This window comes from Homo sapiens, chromosome 6, assembly GCF_000001405.40.
Source record: "Homo sapiens chromosome 6, GRCh38.p14 Primary Assembly".
NCBI classification, from domain to species: domain Eukaryota; kingdom Metazoa; phylum Chordata; class Mammalia; order Primates; family Hominidae; genus Homo; species Homo sapiens.
In genome coordinates this window covers 31,686,880-31,705,037 of record NC_000006.12, presented here as the reverse complement: position 1 = coordinate 31,705,037, position 18,158 = coordinate 31,686,880, and the positions used below count along the sequence as shown (strand labels likewise).

At 50.1% G+C, this 18,158-nt stretch overlaps 1 protein-coding gene, 1 long non-coding RNA gene and 1 other non-coding gene across 6 annotated transcripts; 2 read left to right on the top strand and 1 right to left on the bottom strand.

The window, feature by feature from the left end:
• The first annotated feature begins 1,713 nt into the window (after positions 1-1,713).
• Positions 1,714-18,083, top strand: ABHD16A (abhydrolase domain containing 16A, phospholipase). Of its 4 annotated transcripts, none has more exons than NM_021160.3 (20): positions 1,714-1,888; positions 2,908-2,964; positions 3,698-3,764; positions 4,010-4,096; positions 8,005-8,090; positions 11,606-11,679; positions 11,889-12,011; positions 13,120-13,234; positions 13,358-13,459; positions 14,436-14,499; positions 14,911-14,960; positions 15,334-15,457; positions 15,919-16,023; positions 16,252-16,315; positions 16,733-16,789; positions 16,935-16,997; positions 17,138-17,214; positions 17,298-17,396; positions 17,494-17,540; positions 17,743-18,083. In NM_021160.3, exons 1-20 carry the CDS (start codon positions 1,757-1,759, stop codon positions 17,824-17,826), a joined length of 1,677 nt encoding a protein of 558 aa, NP_066983.1. In that variant the 5' UTR covers positions 1,714-1,756; the 3' UTR covers positions 17,827-18,083. The 4 variants fall into 4 exon arrangements, 2 of the variants coding, with proteins under 2 accessions (NP_066983.1, NP_001170986.1); NR_033488.2 differs by lacking the exon at positions 1,714-1,888 and adding an exon at positions 2,080-2,426; NR_033489.2 differs by lacking the exons at positions 2,908-2,964; positions 3,698-3,764.
• Positions 3,947-4,009, top strand: MIR4646 (microRNA 4646). Its single transcript, NR_039789.1, has one exon. It is a non-coding gene; the product is annotated as a microRNA 4646 (primary transcript).
• Positions 13,722-15,389, bottom strand: LOC105375018 (uncharacterized). Its single transcript, XR_926696.2, has 2 exons — positions 15,072-15,389; positions 13,722-14,280 (listed from the first exon to the last, which is right to left on the bottom strand). It is a non-coding gene; the product is annotated as an uncharacterized LOC105375018 (long non-coding RNA).
• Positions 18,084-18,158: the final 75 nt, after the last annotated feature.

The window sequence follows — 18,158 nt, the reverse complement described above, 5'->3', positions numbered from 1 at the left end:
GAAAAAGAAATAGAATATTCCAGGCCAGGCACAGTGGCTCATGCCTGTAATCCCAGCACTCTGTGAGGCCAAAGCAGGAGGTTCACTTGAGCCCAGGAGTTCGAGACCAGCCTGGGCAACATGGTGAGACCTTGTAAAATTAGCCGAGTATGGTGGTGTGGGCCTATAGTCCCAGCTACTCAGGAGGTTGAGGCAGAAAGATGGTTGAGCCCAGCAGGTGGAGGATCAGGGCAGTGAGCCGTGATTGTGCCACTGTGCTCCAGCCTGGGTGAAAGAGCTAGACCCTGTCTCAAAAAAAAAAAAAAAAAAAAACAGAAAAAAAGAATATTCCGTTTCAGTCAGAGATCCTCTATGCTGTGTAACCACAATTCTGAATTTTCTCTTTCTTCTCCACTTGCTTTATCATTAAATTTTATGTGTTTTTGAATCTAATATACTAGTATCACGTATACATTCTTCTGTGGCTTTCTATTTTCACTCAGCATCATGGTTTTAAGATCCAGTTCATGCATAACAGTAATGATTCATTTATTTTCTTTTTACAAATATTCCGCATATCTTACTGTGCTGAATTTTCGTATCCAGGACCATGGTGTAGCTTTCCATTTATTGAAAAGCTTTTCGTTTACCTCTTTCTTTTTTTATTTTTTCAATTATTATTGTTATTATTTTGAGGCAGGGTCTGGCTCTGTCACCCAGGCTGGAGTGCATGGAGCGATCTCAAACTCCCGGGCTCAAGCGACCCTCCCACCTTGGCCTCCCAAGTAGCTGGGACTACAGGTGGGCACCACCACACCCTGCTAGGTCTTTTTTTTTTCCCCCTTGGTATTTTGTGTAGAGATGGGGTCTCACTATGTTGCCTGGGCTGGCTTGGAACTCCAGGGCGCAAGCAATCCTCTCTCAGCCACCCCAAGTGTTGGAATTACAGGCATGAGCCATGGCCTGGAACTCCTGGACGCAAGCAATCATCCCTCGGCCACCCAAAGTGTTGGAATTACAGGCGTGAGCCACCGCGCTGGGCCAGTTTACCTTTATTTATTTATTTAGAGACAGAGTCTTGCTCTGTCACCAAGGCTGAAGTGCAGTGGGAAGATCTCGGCTCACTGCAACCTCTGCCTCCCGCGTTCAAGCGATTCTCGCGTCTCGGCCTCCCGAGTAGCTGGGATTACAGGCGCGCACCACCCATGCCAGGCTAATTTTTGTATTTTTAGTAGAGATGGGGTTTCACCATGTTGGCCAGGCTGGTCTCGAACTCCTGGCCTCAAGTGATCCCCCCGCCTCGGCCTCCCAAAGTGCTAGGACTACAGGCGTGAGCCACTGCGCCGGGCCGGGCCAGTTTGCCTTTTCAATAACTTTTTATAGTTTTCTTCATAAAACCTTGCATTTCTTGTACTAGATACATTCCTAGACACCTTATGTTTTCGGTTACTCTTATCAAGTACTCCTAATCTCACCCCTCGTTTCCGCTGTCGCTCTAGAGTCTGCCAATAATGAGACAGAAAAAAATTATTGAACCATGCCCGGTAATTTTCTGATTCTCCGCGTTCTAGTGGTCTTCCACTAGTTTCGGACCACTGCTGTACCCGTAGCTCCAACTGCGCGAAACTCTTCTCAGGAAGCACTGAAAATGTCGCAACTCGCCCGGAGGCGGAGCCGGTACGGGCTGACGTCAAGGGCACACAACACCTCAGAGGCAGGGAGGGCGGGGCCGGCAGGGGGACCTGCTGCTGGAAGAGCAGCGGCCCGAGCCGGGGCCATGGCGAAGCTGCTGAGCTGCGTCCTAGGCCCCCGGCTCTACAAAATCTACCGGGAGAGGGACTCTGAAAGGGCCCCGGCCAGCGTCCCTGAGACGCCAACGGCAGTCACTGCCCCCCATTCCAGCTCCTGGGTGAGTCGAGTTCCTCCCCACCGAAGAACGTGGTACAGTCCAAACCCTTTACGGCCTTTTGCTCCCCAGAAGTGCCCATAATGGGAAATAAGGGGAGCCTGCTTGTCAAGCCAGTTATCCGCAAAATCTGCGCTCTGTGTGCTTCCTGAGTTAAAGTCACGCCTACGGACTGGCCGCCTCCTTTCTTTTTCGCTCTTTACCGCTTTCTCATTCCGACTGCCACTCTTTGTTCTTTCCTCTCCGCGTCCCCCCGACCCTGTGTGTCGTGGTTCGTGCCGGTCCCAGTTGAGTCTTGAGTCCCGGGAAGAGACCCTGCGCGGACTGGGGAGCCGTTGAATTTTGCTGTCAGACTCCCAGTTTCCTCTTCTTCAGTGCCTCTTCATGCCTCCCCCGGCTCTGTTTTTATCTTCCCTTTACCCTCGCCTTGAATTTCAGAATGACTTTTACAGATCCTGTATCCGTCGGTCCTCCCCTCAACCCCCGCCCAACCTAGCCTGGAGACCCGAGTCATTGTATTCTGGAGAGCTGGCGGGTGGTGGTAGGCTGTTCTAAATATTCTCTTCCTTTTTATCAGTTGTCTCATTGTGTTACTGTCTCCTACAAACTGCCCGCTCCTACCCACATTCTCTTCTTAGTCAACTACTCTTATTTCTGATGCTTTTCTTTCCTTCTTAGATTGTCTAGGTGTCTTTTCTTTCTTCTCAAACTAACCCTTCTCCCCACATGCACGCGCCTGCAATCCATTTGAAACTAGGCTGTGGAAAAGGAGCAAAAATCGTCCAATGCTGCTTTCACTTTTGCTTCCAAATCCAGCTCCCTGTGTTTGTTCCCATGGTCAGGGGTGGGAAATTAGGTTCAGAGTGAGGGTGAGGAAGAGGAGTTTCTGTGGGGGCCAGGGATGTTTCAAGAGAGATAGTCAACGAGACTAGAACCAGAGGACACACAGCAGGGCTTCTGAAAGGGAAGGGAAAGGACCTGCCAGTGGGCAGGGTCCTTAAGGAGGCCATCTGTTTTGGCAGGATACGTACTATCAGCCCCGTGCCCTGGAGAAACATGCTGACAGCATCCTGGCACTGGTATGTCTACCCTGGCATCTGGGACTCTGCATCTTTCAGACCCACCTGTCCTCTTGAACTTAGCCCTCCCTAACTTGGGAGCAACAGTGCCCTGGGGTTGGGGGATGCCCTGGGCTCTGCAGCAGACCTCTCCAACACAGACACACAGGCACACTCTAAATGTGCATACTTGGCACTCCCCTTTGGTATGTAGCACTGCTTTCTCTGGGGGCAACCTGAGCCGTAAGGAAAACATGTTTACTCTTGGGACCATCTGCAGGTGCTAAGTCCTGCAGTTCCCCAGTGACCTGTCCTCCCTGGCAACTAACCTCTTTGGCTGCAGGGACAGCTGTTCTTTCTGGCACAGTTCCTGTGGTGACGTTTGCGCATCTCTTGGGGACCAGGCCAGGGGCTGTCCTGAGCAGGGCCAATTGAAAAGGCTTGATTAACTTGAGTAGACAGAGAGACTGCCTTTAAATGTGATGGAATTATGTCTGGAGATGGAAGACATAATTCTTCCATAATTCCAGAGGAAGAAAATAGAGCCTGTACCAAATTTTCCCAGCCTCCATTACATTGACACACTACTTTTCAACAAATACTGAGCACCTACTGTATTCATGGTGTCATACACCAAATATGATATGATATCCCTCAGGTTGTCCATCTTGCTCAGAGTGTATAGTATATGCCTGGAATGGCAGGTGTGTGTGTGTGTGTGTATTGATTGCCTGTCCCTGTCTCTCTGCTGCAGGCTTCAGTATTCTGGTCCATCTCTTATTACTCCTCTCCCTTCGCCTTCTTCTACTTGTACAGGAAAGGTCAGTGTGGTTTCAAAGGTGGTGGGGTAGCAAATGGGCAGGTTGTTGGCAGATGAGCCAGCTCCCTAAAGAGGAGAGGGGACCTGTGAAGATGGCTTGGCTTCCCTCTTCCATCAGGCATCTTCTTCCTCTTAGGGTATGGCTGTTCCAAACAGGGAGTGTGGGGTGGAGGTTGGGGCTGAACTGGGAAGAGGAGCTGAGGGACATTGCGGAGAGGGTCTCACATTGTCCCTCTCCCTTCCCAGGTTACTTGAGTTTGTCCAAAGTGGTGCCGTTTTCTCACTATGCTGGGACATTGCTGCTACTTCTGGCAGGTGTGGCCTGCCTCCGAGGTAGGTGGAGAGGAAACCTGGTTTGAATCTTATCTGTCACTGTCACTGGTTAAAAATTAAGTACCTTGTGCAAATACATTTTAGTGATGGGCCTCCGAGAGGGAATCATTGAGAATGGTTTAAGGCATGATCTTTTCCTTAAAAGACTTGGGTTATAAATATGAAAAAATAACTGAAAAGTAACAAAAAGGTTTGCTTTTTTTTTTTTAAGAGATAGGGTCTCACCATGTTGTCCAGGCTGGTCTCAAACTCCTGAACTCAAAGTGATCCTCCCACCTCAGCCTCCCGAAGTACTGGGATTATAGATGTGAGCCACTATGCCTGGCTGCTTTTATCTAGAAAAGATGCATATACCCTACAACAATTCTATATATGTATACATACTAGGAAAACTCCTGCACATGTATAAACAATATAGATGTACAAGAATACAGCATACAACATTGTTTGTAATAATCCTAAGCTGGAAACAACTCCAGTGGCTACAAATAGTAGGATGGATAAAATATGTTCTGTGTGGCCGGGTGTGGTGGCTCATGCCTGTAATCCCAGCACTTTGGGAGGCAGAGGCCAGTGGATCACGAGGTCAGGAATTTGAGACCAGCCTGACCAACATGGTAAAACCCCGTCTCTACCAAAAATACAAAAATTAGCTGGGCATGGTGGCACGTGCCTGTAATCCCAGCTACTTAGGAGGCTGAGGCAGGAGAATAGCTTGAACCTGGGAGGCAAAGGTTGCAGTGAGACGAGATTGCGCTACTGCACTCCATCCTGGGCAACAGAGCAAGACTCCGTCTCAAAAAAAAAAAAAAGTTCCATGCAATAGCCATGCAAGAGAACACTATATAGCAATGCAAATGAACAAACTGTAGCTACGCTCAACAACGCAGATGAAGCCAGGTGCAGTGGCTCATGCCTGTAATCCTAGCAGTTTGGTAGGCTGAAGCAGGCAGATCACCAGAGGTCAGGAGTTCAAGACCAGTCTGTCCAACATGGTGAAACCCCGTCTCTACTAAACATACAAAAAAAAATTAGCCAGGTATGGTGGTGAGCACCTGTAATCCCAGCTATTCGGGAGGCTGAGGCAGTAGAATTGCTTGAATCCAAGAGGCAGAGGTTGCAGTGAGCCAAGATTGCGCTACTGTACTGCATCCTGGGCAACAGAGCAAGGCTCCATCTCAGAAAAAATAAAATACAAAAAATTAACTGGGCATGGTGGCACATGCCTATAGTCTTAACTGCTTGGGAGGCTAAGGCATGAGAACTGCTTGAACCTGGGAGGCAGAGGTTGCAGTGAGCCAAGATAGCACCACTGCACTCCAGTCTGGGTGACAGAGCGAGACTCTGTCTCCAGATAAACAAAAGCAATGCAGATGAATTTCTCAAATGTTGTGTTAAATAGAAGAAGCTAACCACAAAATAATGTATGCAGTATGTTTTCATTTATATAAAATTCAAAAGGGATGTGCATGTTTGAGGTAGAACACCGAAGACAACAAGGGCATGGTTTTCTTTTTTTTTTTTTTTTTTTTTGAGACGGAGTCTCGCTCTGTCCCCCAGGCTGGAGTGCAGTGGCGCGATCTCGGCTCACTGCAAGCTCCGCCTCCCGGGTTCACGCCATTCTCCTGCTTCAGCCTCCCGAGTAGCTGGGACTACAGGCGCCCACCACCACACCCGGCTAGGTTTTTTTGTATTTTTTAGTAGAGATGGGGTTTCACCGTGTTAGCCAGGATGGTCTCAATCTCCTGACCTCGTGATCCACCCGCCTCGGCCTCCCAAAGTGCTGAGATTACAGGCTTGAGCCACCGCGCCCAGCAAGGGCATGGTTTTCTCAAAAGTTAGGAGAGTGATTACCTGGGGTGGGGGAGAACAGAGTGGGGGAGAGCCCTGCTGAGAGGTGGCTGTGTTCTCTTTGTTGACCTAGGTGATAGTCACATGAATGTTTGCTTTGTATTTTTTAAACTGAATATATGTTTTATGTACATATGTTGTATCTCGCAATTTAAAAAAATAAAGAGGACAGATCACCTACCCCTAGTGGGTACATAAGATGACAACCAGGTGATGGGCGATGCTTCAACATGGGGGTGGTGGGGTCAGGGCTGGATGGTCGCAGTTGGGTCCAGGACCTTCTGCCTGAGGTGTTCTGCCCCCTGATCTCTGCAGGGCTGGGCTCTCTCCTCAGAGAGGCCTTCCCTGACCACCCTGTCTAAAAGTAGCTCCCACTGCTCAGTTTTGTCTTAGTTTTTTATTTTATTTATTTTTAATTTAGAAAAAATACAGAAAAAATTAGCTGTGCATGGTGGCGGGCGCTTGTAATCCCAGCTATTTGGGAGGCTGTGGCAGGAGAATCACTTGAACCCGGGAGGCGGAGGTTGCAGTGAGCCGAGAGCACATCATTGCACTCCCGCCTGGGCAACAAGAGCAAAACTGTCTCAAAAAAAAGAAAAAAGAAAAAATACAGAAAAGTCCAGAGAACAAAATATAAAAGCCTTTTTAAATTTTTTGATGTATAGTTTTGTGATTTTTTTTTTATATATAGTTTTGTGATATTTGCTTTAAATGCTTTCTGTCAACAAAATACTAAAGCACCACAGTTAGGGTTGGAGTTCCCATTGGAATCCTTTCAGTCCCATCTTCCTCTTTCCTCAGAAGTAATAATTGTCATTTGGTGTGGGTTTTTTTTTTTTCTGGCACATACTTTTATGAAACATATACCTCAGTTCCTCAAGTCTAAGCTGCCATCAATTGTAAAATGAATTCTAATTTCAGAGTTTTCAAGGGTTAAAAAATATACATTTTAGAATCTATGAAATATGGTATCTATAAGCAGTATGTATTATTTTGCACATTTTACATTTTTGGCATAAATGTTGTACAAATCATTCTGCAGCACACATCATTCTCTCATCATATCGTTTTGGGGGAATACCATTGATGACACATAAAGTTCTGGTTCATTCTTGTTGTATTTTCTCTGTAGCACTTATCCCTCTCTGAAATGTTGTTTATTGTCTTCTCCTGGCTGTACCTAACCCCAACCAGAATGCCAGCTCTCTGAGAGCCAGGAGCTGTGTATCTCATTTCCTGCTGAGTCTCCCGTGTGTAGTACGGTGCCTGTCTGACACACGACACCTGCCAAGTCAGTGAGGAGAGAAGTTAGGGTTTGAGGTGGCTCAGCAGTGAAAGGAGAGTGGATGCAATCACTGACTGTGTAAGTGAAAAGAGAGAGGAGAGAGAGTCAGCACTGAGAGTTGCTTCTGCTTCAGAAAGGAAAGCAGAAAGGAGGCAGGAGAGGAACTGTTCAGGAACTGGAAGGAGTCAAGGATGGGCCCAGGAAGCAGAGGCAGGAAGAATCTTGAGGGACAGGGAGAATGCTGAGTAGTACAGTTGAAGAGAATGAGGATAGAAGAGTCAGGAATTCAGTGAGGAAGTAATTATGGGCAGGAGTCGGAGACTCTGAAGCCAGATGGCAAGGGGCTAGAATATACAGAAAAGAGGCAGAAAGCAAACATTGGAGAAGAATGGCAGTGAAAAATAGAGAAATTTGATATTCGCAAGGGAGAATAGTATTATATGATAGTGTTTAATAGTGTCATTTAATAGGTTATATGACAGTGTTTAAAGACTGAGGAAGAGGAACATTCTGGAAGATGGTAGGTTAAGGATTGTCTATAAAGACACAAACTGCAGAAGCTAGGGAGAAGAAGCGTCCTGTAGCCAGTTGCTGGATTTGGAGGAAGGGGGTTGGCTCACATCTATTTCTCCGCATCCTATGCCCTCAGTTCCTTTTTCTTTCACTTTTTCTTACAGGGCCTTCTTCTAGCCCATCTCCAATTCTTTTCCTAAAACCTAGGCTTTCTGCTTCCCAGTTTTCCTAGCACTGTTTCCTGTCCTTTTTCTACCAGGCATTGGCCGCTGGACCAACCCCCAGTACCGGCAGTTCATCACCATCTTGGAAGCAACACATCGGAACCAGTCTTCAGAAAACAAGGTGAGAGGCCCTAGGAAAAGTGCCACACAGGCACCCAATAGCAGCTTTCTCAGTTGTCCCTCAGAGCACCAGACACTGGCTTCTGCAGGAAGAGGAGGTGTGTTTTACCACCCACCACACTGGGTGTTTGCTTGCACATTGCTGTATCCCTTCTCACCTCCATTAGTGAACTGTCCACCTGAGGAATTTTTCCTCCCTACCACTTCTAATGGAATATTCTGCTAGAACAATCTTCCCCCTCCCTCACCTGTAAGAACTGGCTAAACTAGAAACATTCCACAATGTTTCTTTTTTCTTTTTCTTTTTTTTTTTTTGAGATGGAGTTTCGCTCTTGTTGCCCAGGCTGGAGTGCAATGGCACGATCTCGGCTCACTGCACTCTCCACCTCCCAGGTTCAAGTGATTCTCCTGTCTCAGCTTCCTGAGTAGCTAGGATTACAGGCACGCACCACCCACACCCTCTAATTTTTGTATTTTTTGTAGAGACGGGGTTTCACCATGTTGGCTAGGCTGGTCTCCAACTCATGACCTCAGGCGATCTGCCTGCCCCAGCCTCCCAAAGTGCTGGGATTACAGGCGTGAGCCACCACTCCTGGCCTCTTTTTTTTTTTTTCTTCTTTGAGACAGAGTCTCACTCTTACTCAGGCTGGAGTATAGTGGTACAATCTCAGTTTACTACAACCTCCAACTCCCGGGTTCAAACAATGCTCATGCCTCAGCCTCCTGAGTAGCTGGAATTACAGGTGCACACCACCACGCCCAGTTAATTTTTTTTTTTTTTTTTTGAGACGGAGTCTCACTCTGTCGCCCAGGCTGGAGTGCAGTGGCGCCATCTCAGCTTACTGCAAGCTCGGCCTCCCGGGTTCATGCCATTGTCCTGCCTCAGCCCCCTGAGTAGCTGGGACTACAGGCGCCTGCCACCACGCCCGGCTAATTTTTTTATTTTTAGTAGAGACGGGGTTTCACCATGTTAGCCAGGATGGTCTTGATCTCCTGACCTTGTGATCCGCCTGCCTCGGCCTCCCAAAGTGCTGGGATTACAGGCGTGAGCCACCGTGCCTGGCCAATTTTTGTATTTTTAGCAGAGACAGGGTTTCATCATGTTGGCCAGGCTAGTCTTGAACTCCTGACTGCAGACGATCTGCCTGCCTTGGCCTTCCAAAGTGCTGGGATTATAGGTGTGAGCCACTGTGCCTGGCCCACAGTGTTTCTTTTTTTTTCTTTTGAGATGGAGTTTCGCTCTTGTTGCCCAGGCTGGCGTGCAATGGCATGATTCCAGCTCACTGCAACCTCCGCCTCCTGGGTTCAAGCGATTCTCCTGCCTCAGCCTCCCAAGTAGCTGGGATTACAGGCATGCGCCACCACGCCCAGCTAATATTGTATTTTTAGTAGAGATGGGGTTTAGCTGTGTTGGTCAGGCTGGTCTCAAACTCCTGACCTCAGGTGATCCACCTGCCTTGGCCTCCCAAAGTGCTGGGATTACAGGTGTGAGCCACTGCACCCAGCCCACAATGTTTCTTAGAAGGTAGTTTTCTCTGTATCACAGCAGCTCAGTTCTATAAATGTTTAATTTTGTTGTATGCATTGAATACCATGCTATCCTTGTTTGTGGATGGGACAAGGTGGACAGGTGTGTCCACTCCTATGCCTGGGAGTACAGCATGGTGCCAGGAGGGAGAAAAGCTAGGGCTCAGTGTCTTGGGAATTATGCCAAGCCGGCTGGTGCTGGACTGTGATTATCTTTGAGGATGGGCTTTGGGGCCCCATAGAGCTCTTTTCTGTTATGGGAGGTTTCTAGGATCAAACAGCTATGACCACCATCATCACATTCCTGGCTACTCCACACTATGGAGCTGCGTAATGATGCCCTGTACTATGCTACTGGCTGAAGCATTTGGCACACACCCTTTCTGATCCTCACAACAGCTGAGTGAGGTGGCATTATTACCTTTATTTGTAAATGTGAGAAAACAGAGGCAAAAAGAGGTTAAGTGACCCATTCGGAGTCATAGAGCAAGAAAGTGGCTAAGTCCAGATTTGAGAGCAGGTCTGAGCAAAGCCTGCCTGAAATTTGCTTTTAGTCATCTTGTTTTGTTTTGCCATTTACCTTTTTGTATAATTTTTCTATTGCTCTCTGTTAGTCAAATTATTTTTGAAATGTCAAAAAATTTCTGTGCAGAAAATAAAAACCCTCAAAATAGAGTGCTAGGAGCTCAGGGGGTGGGGGACGAATATAGTCAAGTATTAAGACACAGCTAGGCCGGGCGCGGTGGCTCACACCTGTAATCCCAGCACTTTGGAAGGCCGAGGCGGGTGGATCACGAGGTCAGGAGATCAAGACCATCCTGGCTAACATGGTGAAACCCCATCTCTGCTAAAGGTACAAAAATTAGCCGGGCATGGTGGTGGCAGGCACCTGTAGTCCCAGCTACTTGGAGGCTGAGGCGGGAGAATGGCGTGAAGCCGGGAGGCAGAGCTTGCAGTGATCCGAGATCGTGCCACTGCACTCCAGCCTGGGCGACAGAGTGAGACTCCATCTCAAAAAAAAAAAAAAAAAAAAAGACACAGCTCCCACTGCCGTCAAAAAACGTGGAGCTGGTGAGGTGGTTCATGCCTATAATCCCAGCACTTTCGGAAGCCAAGGCAGGAGGATCGCTTCAGCCCAGGAGTTGGAGACCAGCCTGGGCAACATAGTAAGACCTTGTCTCTAAAGAAAATTTTAAAAATTAGCTGGGCATGGTAGCACATGTCTGTAGTCCCAGCTACTCCAGAGGCTAAGGTAGGAGGATCACTTGGGCCTGGGAGTTTGAGGCTGCAGTGAGCTATGATTGCACCAACTGCATTCCAGCCTGGGCAACAGCACGAGACCCTGCCTCAAAAAAAAAAAAAAAGGCATGTGGACTGGCTCAGTGGGGTGGCCCGAGGTTCGGATGGGCTGTAGGGCAACACTGATCCATGGCTGCAGGAGTTGAGGAAGGGATGTAGTTGTGAGGATGGAAGTCAGAGCTTCCTTCAACGGGTGGCCCCACATGGCAGAGGAGCCCACTGTGGGCGTGACTTCCCTCCTCTCTGTCTCACTCAACCTTGGGTCTGTCAGTGTGATCTGCTGGGAGATTTCTAAGCTTCTAAGACAGCACCCTATAAGGGACCCAGGTGGGGAATAGACCGTGACCAGCCAGCGACCCCTACTACCCGTCACTCAAAAGCACTAGCACCTTCAGCCACTCCTCCTGGGGATGGGTCAGACTTAGTTTTTTAGAAAAGCAGAGTGTTAGGTTCTTAGCTTGGAAGAGGGCAGACAGGCCAGTCCTGATACCTGATGGGGCATACCATCTCCCCTGATTTTCTGGTCCTGTTAGAATTTTCCATCTGAGAATTGGGAGGGTATTGACCTCCGCTTGGTTTCCCCATGATGTGTGGGGATCAGACCCCTGGATAACGAAGGTGTTGTTGAGGGTGGGTAGGAGAGCCTCCCCTGAGTTCTCAGTACCCCTTTGCCTCTCGTGCCCACTGCAGAGGCAGCTTGCCAACTACAACTTTGACTTCCGGAGCTGGCCAGTCGACTTCCACTGGGAAGAACCCAGCAGCCGGTGAGGCCCCAGTTCTTTTGCTGTATCTCTCCCCTTAGAACCATTCCAGAAAATCTCTGCTCTGCCCTCCCACCTCCATGCCCTCTCAGGTCACAGTGCCTGCCTTCCAATGCCATTATGTCGTTCCTAGACCCCACTGTTCTCCAGACCTCAGACATCCAGCTTGCTGCTCCTGACCCTATCCTTCCCTGCATCTTTCCCTTCCTCAGGAAGGAGTCTCGAGGGGGCCCTTCCCGCCGGGGTGTGGCCCTGCTTCGCCCAGAGCCCCTGCACCGGGGGACAGCAGACACCCTCCTCAACCGGGTTAAGAAGCTGCCTTGTCAGATCACCAGGTGGGAAACAGCAGCGAGGAGAGGCCCACTGGGGTGGAGGGGCCATTTCAGGAGTGCTCTGGGAGTGGGCGCTCCATTGTAAAATAGCTGTCACTCATTGGGCCTAGTGCTGTATGGTTTGTGTAGATCATTTATGGCAAAGTCATTTTTATCCATATTTATGTTTGAAGAAAAGAGGCTCAGAGAGGTCTGGAGTCTCAAATGTAGTAAGTAAAGAACTGGGATATGAACAAAAGCTCCTTCAGTGAGGCTGAAAAGGAGCAGTGGGGGTGGGGTGGGGGTGGGGAGGACACACACTTGTAGCTAGGGCAGGCTCTGGTAGCATCTGTGTACCCATCGTGGCCCCTCTGCCCTGTTGTTATTCCACCTTGGCTCCGGGCCCCTGTGTGCCTCAGTGTCTGCACCTGTGATGAACCTGCCCTGCAAGGTTGCTGAGGAGATTAAGTAAGGTAACATGTTCTGAAGGGCTCCTGCCTTGCCTGGGTGCTTGAGAGCACATGGTAAATCCCAAATAAAGCTCAGTCGTGGGTACTGATGATGTCAGAAGGAACGGAAATAACCACCTATATCTTATAGTGGAACAGACACTGGGAATTTTCTTTTGCTGGGAGTTAGGAGGCAGCTTCTAGAATACCAAGGAACAGGGTGGACTTAGTGGTTGGTTGTTGACAGTGTGCTAATTAGTCAGGGAGGCAAGCCATATTTGAGGTTTTGAATTATAACCATCATTTTTTAAAGCATTATTTATTTGGGGACCTTTAATATGTTGTACTTATATTTTAACAGAATCATAATCTGATGATAACTTTGCATTTACTTATTATGTATAGACAGTTACATCATAAAACTCTCAGAATTCTGTACATACAGGATATGTGTGCACTGAGCCACAATATAAAATGTTTATCTTACAAAGGTTGCAGTAAGAAAAGTTTGCAAAACACTAGCCTGGTACATATTTCATTAAGGCTTGAAAGAGGAAAGTAAAGCTGTGAAGGTCAGGGGTAAAGCAGGCCTTACAGTCTGTGAGTGCTAGGGCTGGGATGGTCCCCAGCACAGTCCCCAGGCCTCAACAGGGTTGGGGTTTGTTAACCTGTGTTCCCCACAGCTACCTGGTGGCGCACACCCTAGGGCGCCGGATGCTGTATCCAGGCTCTGTGTACCTGCTGCAGAAGGCCCTCATGCCTGTGCTGCTGCAGGGCCAGGCCCGACTGGTGGAAGAGGTGAGGCTTCCCTGCCCGCACATCCCCTAAAGCCCTCCCCTCTCACCCCCACCCACCCCGCCCCACCCCTGTGATGTGGCCTCCTGACCCTTGCATCTTGGCCATTGCGTCTTCCGTACTCAGTGTAATGGGCGCCGGGCAAAGCTGCTGGCCTGTGATGGCAATGAGATTGACACCATGTTTGTGGACCGGCGGGGGACAGCTGAGCCCCAGGGACAGAAGCTGGTAAGAGGGAGCAGAGAGCCCAGAGGTGGGGTGAGTGTGAGGAAGGCAGTAGAGGTCTGGGGACCCCAATGCTATAGCACCTCCCTGAAGGAACCACTACTGGGGATAATCTCATGTCCTAGCTCCACGCTAAAGACCTTGTGATGTAGTGAAACCCTGTGATAGAGAAACAGATGAAGTAGGAGAGACGTTCAAGGACGAGAAACTAATATTAATAGTTACCACTTTGACAGCACTTCACACTTATATATATTTAATTCTCATATATATATGAAGCATATATATTTAATTCTCAAAAGAATCCCGTGAGATAGGTACTGCTTATATTAGCCCATTTTACAGGAGATGAAACTGGGGCACAGAAAACCTTTCCTGGACCTCACAGTAAGTGGTAGAGCTGGTATTTGGACCCAGGCAGCCTGGCCTCAAAGTCTCCTACCTCCATGAAGCAGCCGTGGAAAGAGCGCTAAGCCAGGAGTCTAGGGAGCTGGGTTCTAGTCCTGGCTCTGCCCATCTGTTATGAGAGTTCATGCAAATCCCACCATTCGTGGGTTTCAGCTTGGGGCGCCATGGCATTACAGTTTATCTGACCATAAGACTGGAGCTCAGAGAGGGATAGGGAGAGCAATCAGCATACCACACAATAGCAATGGTCACAGAAGATAACAGACCCGAAAACGAGAAAGGAAAAACATCTCCATAGTCCCCTTCCTGAAAGAGATCCAGCTGGTAATCTTCCAAGGAAAAGACATGGCTGGGTGGTCGAGCAGGTCAGCCTCTGAGGAGTATTTGTAATCCCTTTGCTTCTCCTCTTATGGACCCTGTGGAATGAGAAGCTTCCATTCCCCTTGGAGAAAACAGAAACCTGCCCTTTCCTCTTCCCTGCAAAGCTCTTCATGGGCTGCCCTCCCTGCCCAAAGGGAGTTTTTCAGTCCCAACTTGGCCCCCCAGCCCTTCCTTCCTGCCTCCTTCCTAGGTGATCTGCTGTGAGGGGAATGCTGGGTTTTATGAGGTGGGCTGCGTCTCCACGCCCCTGGAAGGTAGGACGGTGACTCAGCCTCCTTATCTCCGCCCTTTGAAAGGGAATGTCCCTGCCTCCCACACTGACCTGACCTCCCCTGGCCTCTGCTTTCTCTGGGTGAGGTTTTGAGTCTCTCAGCTTTAGGGAAAAGTCCACTCGCCATTTGCTTTGATAACCTTACATCCCTCCCCTGGCCTGTGTCCCTAGCTATTATGCTTTTCATTCTGTTCCATTCCCCCACCACACACCCCACACAATCACATGCTGCTCCCTGTGCTGCCTCAGAACCTCTGGTGTCATCTCCTATTTCTGGGAAGGCTTGGAGTTATTTGCATCTAAGCTGGGGGGTACTTCTGCTCTTCCTTCCCCCAGGGATGGAGAAAGGGCTGTGGGCCACAAGGTCTCAGTCCCTCCTCCCCCTGTGTTACAGCTGGATATTCAGTCCTGGGCTGGAATCATCCAGGCTTTGCTGGAAGCACGGTGAGACCATCTCAGGAATCCCTTCCTTTTCCTGAATTATGTCTGTTTCCCTCTGGTCAGCCATTGGAGGGAGGAGAGGGGCTGTGGATTTCTTGAAGGCGTCCCACTCACCTGAGGGCTGGGGTCTAGGAGGTTGTGAAGGCAGCATTGGGAGCCATGCCCCCATCCCCACAGTGCGGGGCTAGCAGGAGAGGAGGAGGTAGATCTCATTGTACACATCCGTCTTCTGGAGAGAACAACCTCTCCTACCATCCCTTCCTTCTACACCTTCTCTGCCTGTCATAGGTGGCTGCAGGAGGGGTCCACGTTGGGAGGGACAGGTGAGCTGGCCTTTGGTGCTGACACACTCCTGACTTTGCCCTTTCTCCTGCAGGGGGTGCCATTCCCGCAGAATGAGGCTAATGCCATGGATGTGGTGGTCCAGTTTGCCATCCACCGCCTAGGCTTCCAGCCCCAGGACATCATCATCTACGCCTGGTCCATCGGCGGCTTCACTGGTACCAGCCTCCCTCCCATCCCCCACTGTAGACACATTCATGACCACCCAGCCCCACCCGGGAGAGGTGGGGAAATGGGGTGGGGTGGAGGCTCAAGGAAGAAGAGAGAGGAAGTAGAATCTCTGAGTGGGCCTGGAAGAAGCTATCCTATTTGCATACACTTCACCTTTCCTTCCCCTCTTGTGCCCAGTCATTAAAAGGAAAAGCAGACCCAGGTCCTGGGTGGGGAGATCAGGGAAAGTGAATGTTTCCTGCCCATTATCTTCAGTGCACTATCTCCAGTGTTCTATCCCCATCCTCTCCAGATAGTTCCCTAACCAAGTGAAGTAGGTTAAGAAAAAAACAAGGGATAACATAGGGGGAATGGGGTTGGCCTATAGGGTCAGTGGGATGAGAGCATGGGTGGTGGGGAGAAAGGAGCCTTTCTCAGTTCTTACTCTTCTTCCCTGCCCTGGTACCAGCCACGTGGGCAGCCATGTCCTACCCAGATGTTAGTGCCATGATCCTGGATGCCTCCTTTGATGACCTGGTGCCCTTGGCCTTGAAGGTCATGCCAGACAGCTGGAGTGAGTGCAGCTCCCAGGCCTGCCCTTCCTGGGAAGGGGTGGGCTGGAACTGGGAACTGTTCTGAGATGGCTCCCTTTTCTTGGGTGGGGAGTAAGTCGCCCCATTGTTGGAAGCAGGAGGACTCCTTTGTCTGGGGGCCTCAGTTTTCTTTCTCCGTGAATAGTGAGGACCTTTATGTTGGGCAAGGGCTTTGTCTCTGCCATCCCTTCACCTTTATCCCACTCTAGGGGGCCTGGTGACCAGGACCGTGAGGCAGCATCTCAATCTAAACAACGCGGAGCAGCTGTGCAGGTGAGGGCCGGCCAGCGTCCGGCATTGAACACCTGCCCCCCATACAGCTCTGCTGGGCGCTCAAACCCTGAAACTAGTACTAAAGTGCAAGTTGGTAAAAGGCCACTGGCTCACATCCTGAGTGACCCTGCCACCACCTCAACTGGCCTAACCCCTCCCAGGTCCCCTGGGACTCTGGACCACCTCAGGATCTGGCAACCAAAGGGTTAAGGCCTGGCACGGCAGGGGTCTCCCAGCAGGGCCAGACTGAACCATGCCCCTTAAATAATCCCCTCTCACCCCTGAGTGAAGGGCTAGGTCAAGGGCTGTGCTATAGCAAGGGGAGGGTAAGAATGCTACCAGTGCAGGGATAGGGGTGGGCCAGTTGTCACCCGTCTCCCTCTGAGCTCTCCCTTCCCACTGCTCTGTTCTCTGAAGATACCAGGGTCCTGTACTGCTGATCCGGAGAACCAAGGATGAGATCATCACCACCACGTGAGTGCGTGGGAATCTCGGCCCTCAGGAACCCCAGAGATGGCCAGGAACTTGTCCCTTCTACCTCTGCCCACCAGAAACCTGGGTATCTAGACCCTTCCTCCTAACCTCCAGCCCCTCCAGGGTACATTCTTCTCACCCCCAGGGTTCCTGAGGACATCATGTCCAACCGAGGCAATGACCTCCTGCTGAAGCTCCTGCAGCATCGGTGAGAGCCAGGGTGTGTGCGCGCTGGGGGCAGTGTACACACACAGATACTGATACCAGCACAGGGAAGGAGGGAGGAAGGTTCAGGGATGGTGAATGAAAAAAAATCAGCCCTGACCTGTCCTGGCACTTCCTCCGTAGGTATCCCCGGGTGATGGCAGAGGAGGGTCTTCGAGTGGTGAGGCAGTGGTTGGAGGCCTCCTCACAGCTGGAGGAAGGTGAGAAGGGATCCAGTGAGGCTTGGGGCGGGGGCCCAGCAAGGTCAGGTTGCTGACTGGCTGTCATCTCTCTCCCTGACCAGCCTCAATTTATAGCCGATGGGAGGTGGAAGAGGACTGGTGTCTGTCTGTCCTCCGCTCCTACCAGGCAGAACACGGGCCCGACTTCCCCTGGAGCGTGGGTAAGGAGCTCCTGGGGCAGGAGAGAGGGTGGGAAGGGCCTAGGAAGGGGATGAATACCCAGATGTGTGGCCTATTTTGAGCGCCTCCTCTCTGCAGGGGAGGACATGAGTGCAGATGGACGGCGGCAGCTGGCTTTGTTTCTGGTGAGCTAAGGAGTGGGAAGTGGGAAGGGTTCTTGAATGGCCAGGGCTCACATAGGGGGACTGGGGATACCCTATAAGCATTGGAAGTGGCAGCTTTTGTAGAGTGGGTGGTGGATGCGGAAGTGGAGGGTGGGGAGGGAGTCCAGTGGCTGCCCCTCCCAACAGTGCTCTGTACCCCACCTGTCCCACCTCCTTTCCTCAGGCTCGGAAGCATCTGCACAACTTTGAGGCCACTCACTGCACCCCACTCCCAGCCCAGAACTTCCAGATGCCCTGGCACCTCTAGGGACCAACTGGGACTCATTATGGAAGAATGGGGTGAGAGGAGACATGAGGAAAGACCCTCTTATTTGTGATTCTCTGTGTTCATGTTGCTGTTTATAGTTTGTGGAAAGTGGGGGACCATCCCCCTTCTCACCACTGTTCCTCTTGCACGTTTCCCCTCATTCATGTGGCTGTACTTAACCTTCTCCAACATACATCCTGCATTACATGAATGGATTATTCCTAATAATTAATAAAAAGGTATTTTTTCTACTATCAGGCTAATTGTATAACTTCTCAAGTGTCCAGGGAGCCAGGGGCAGGTAGTGGGGAGAGCAGAGGCCCCAAAGAGCT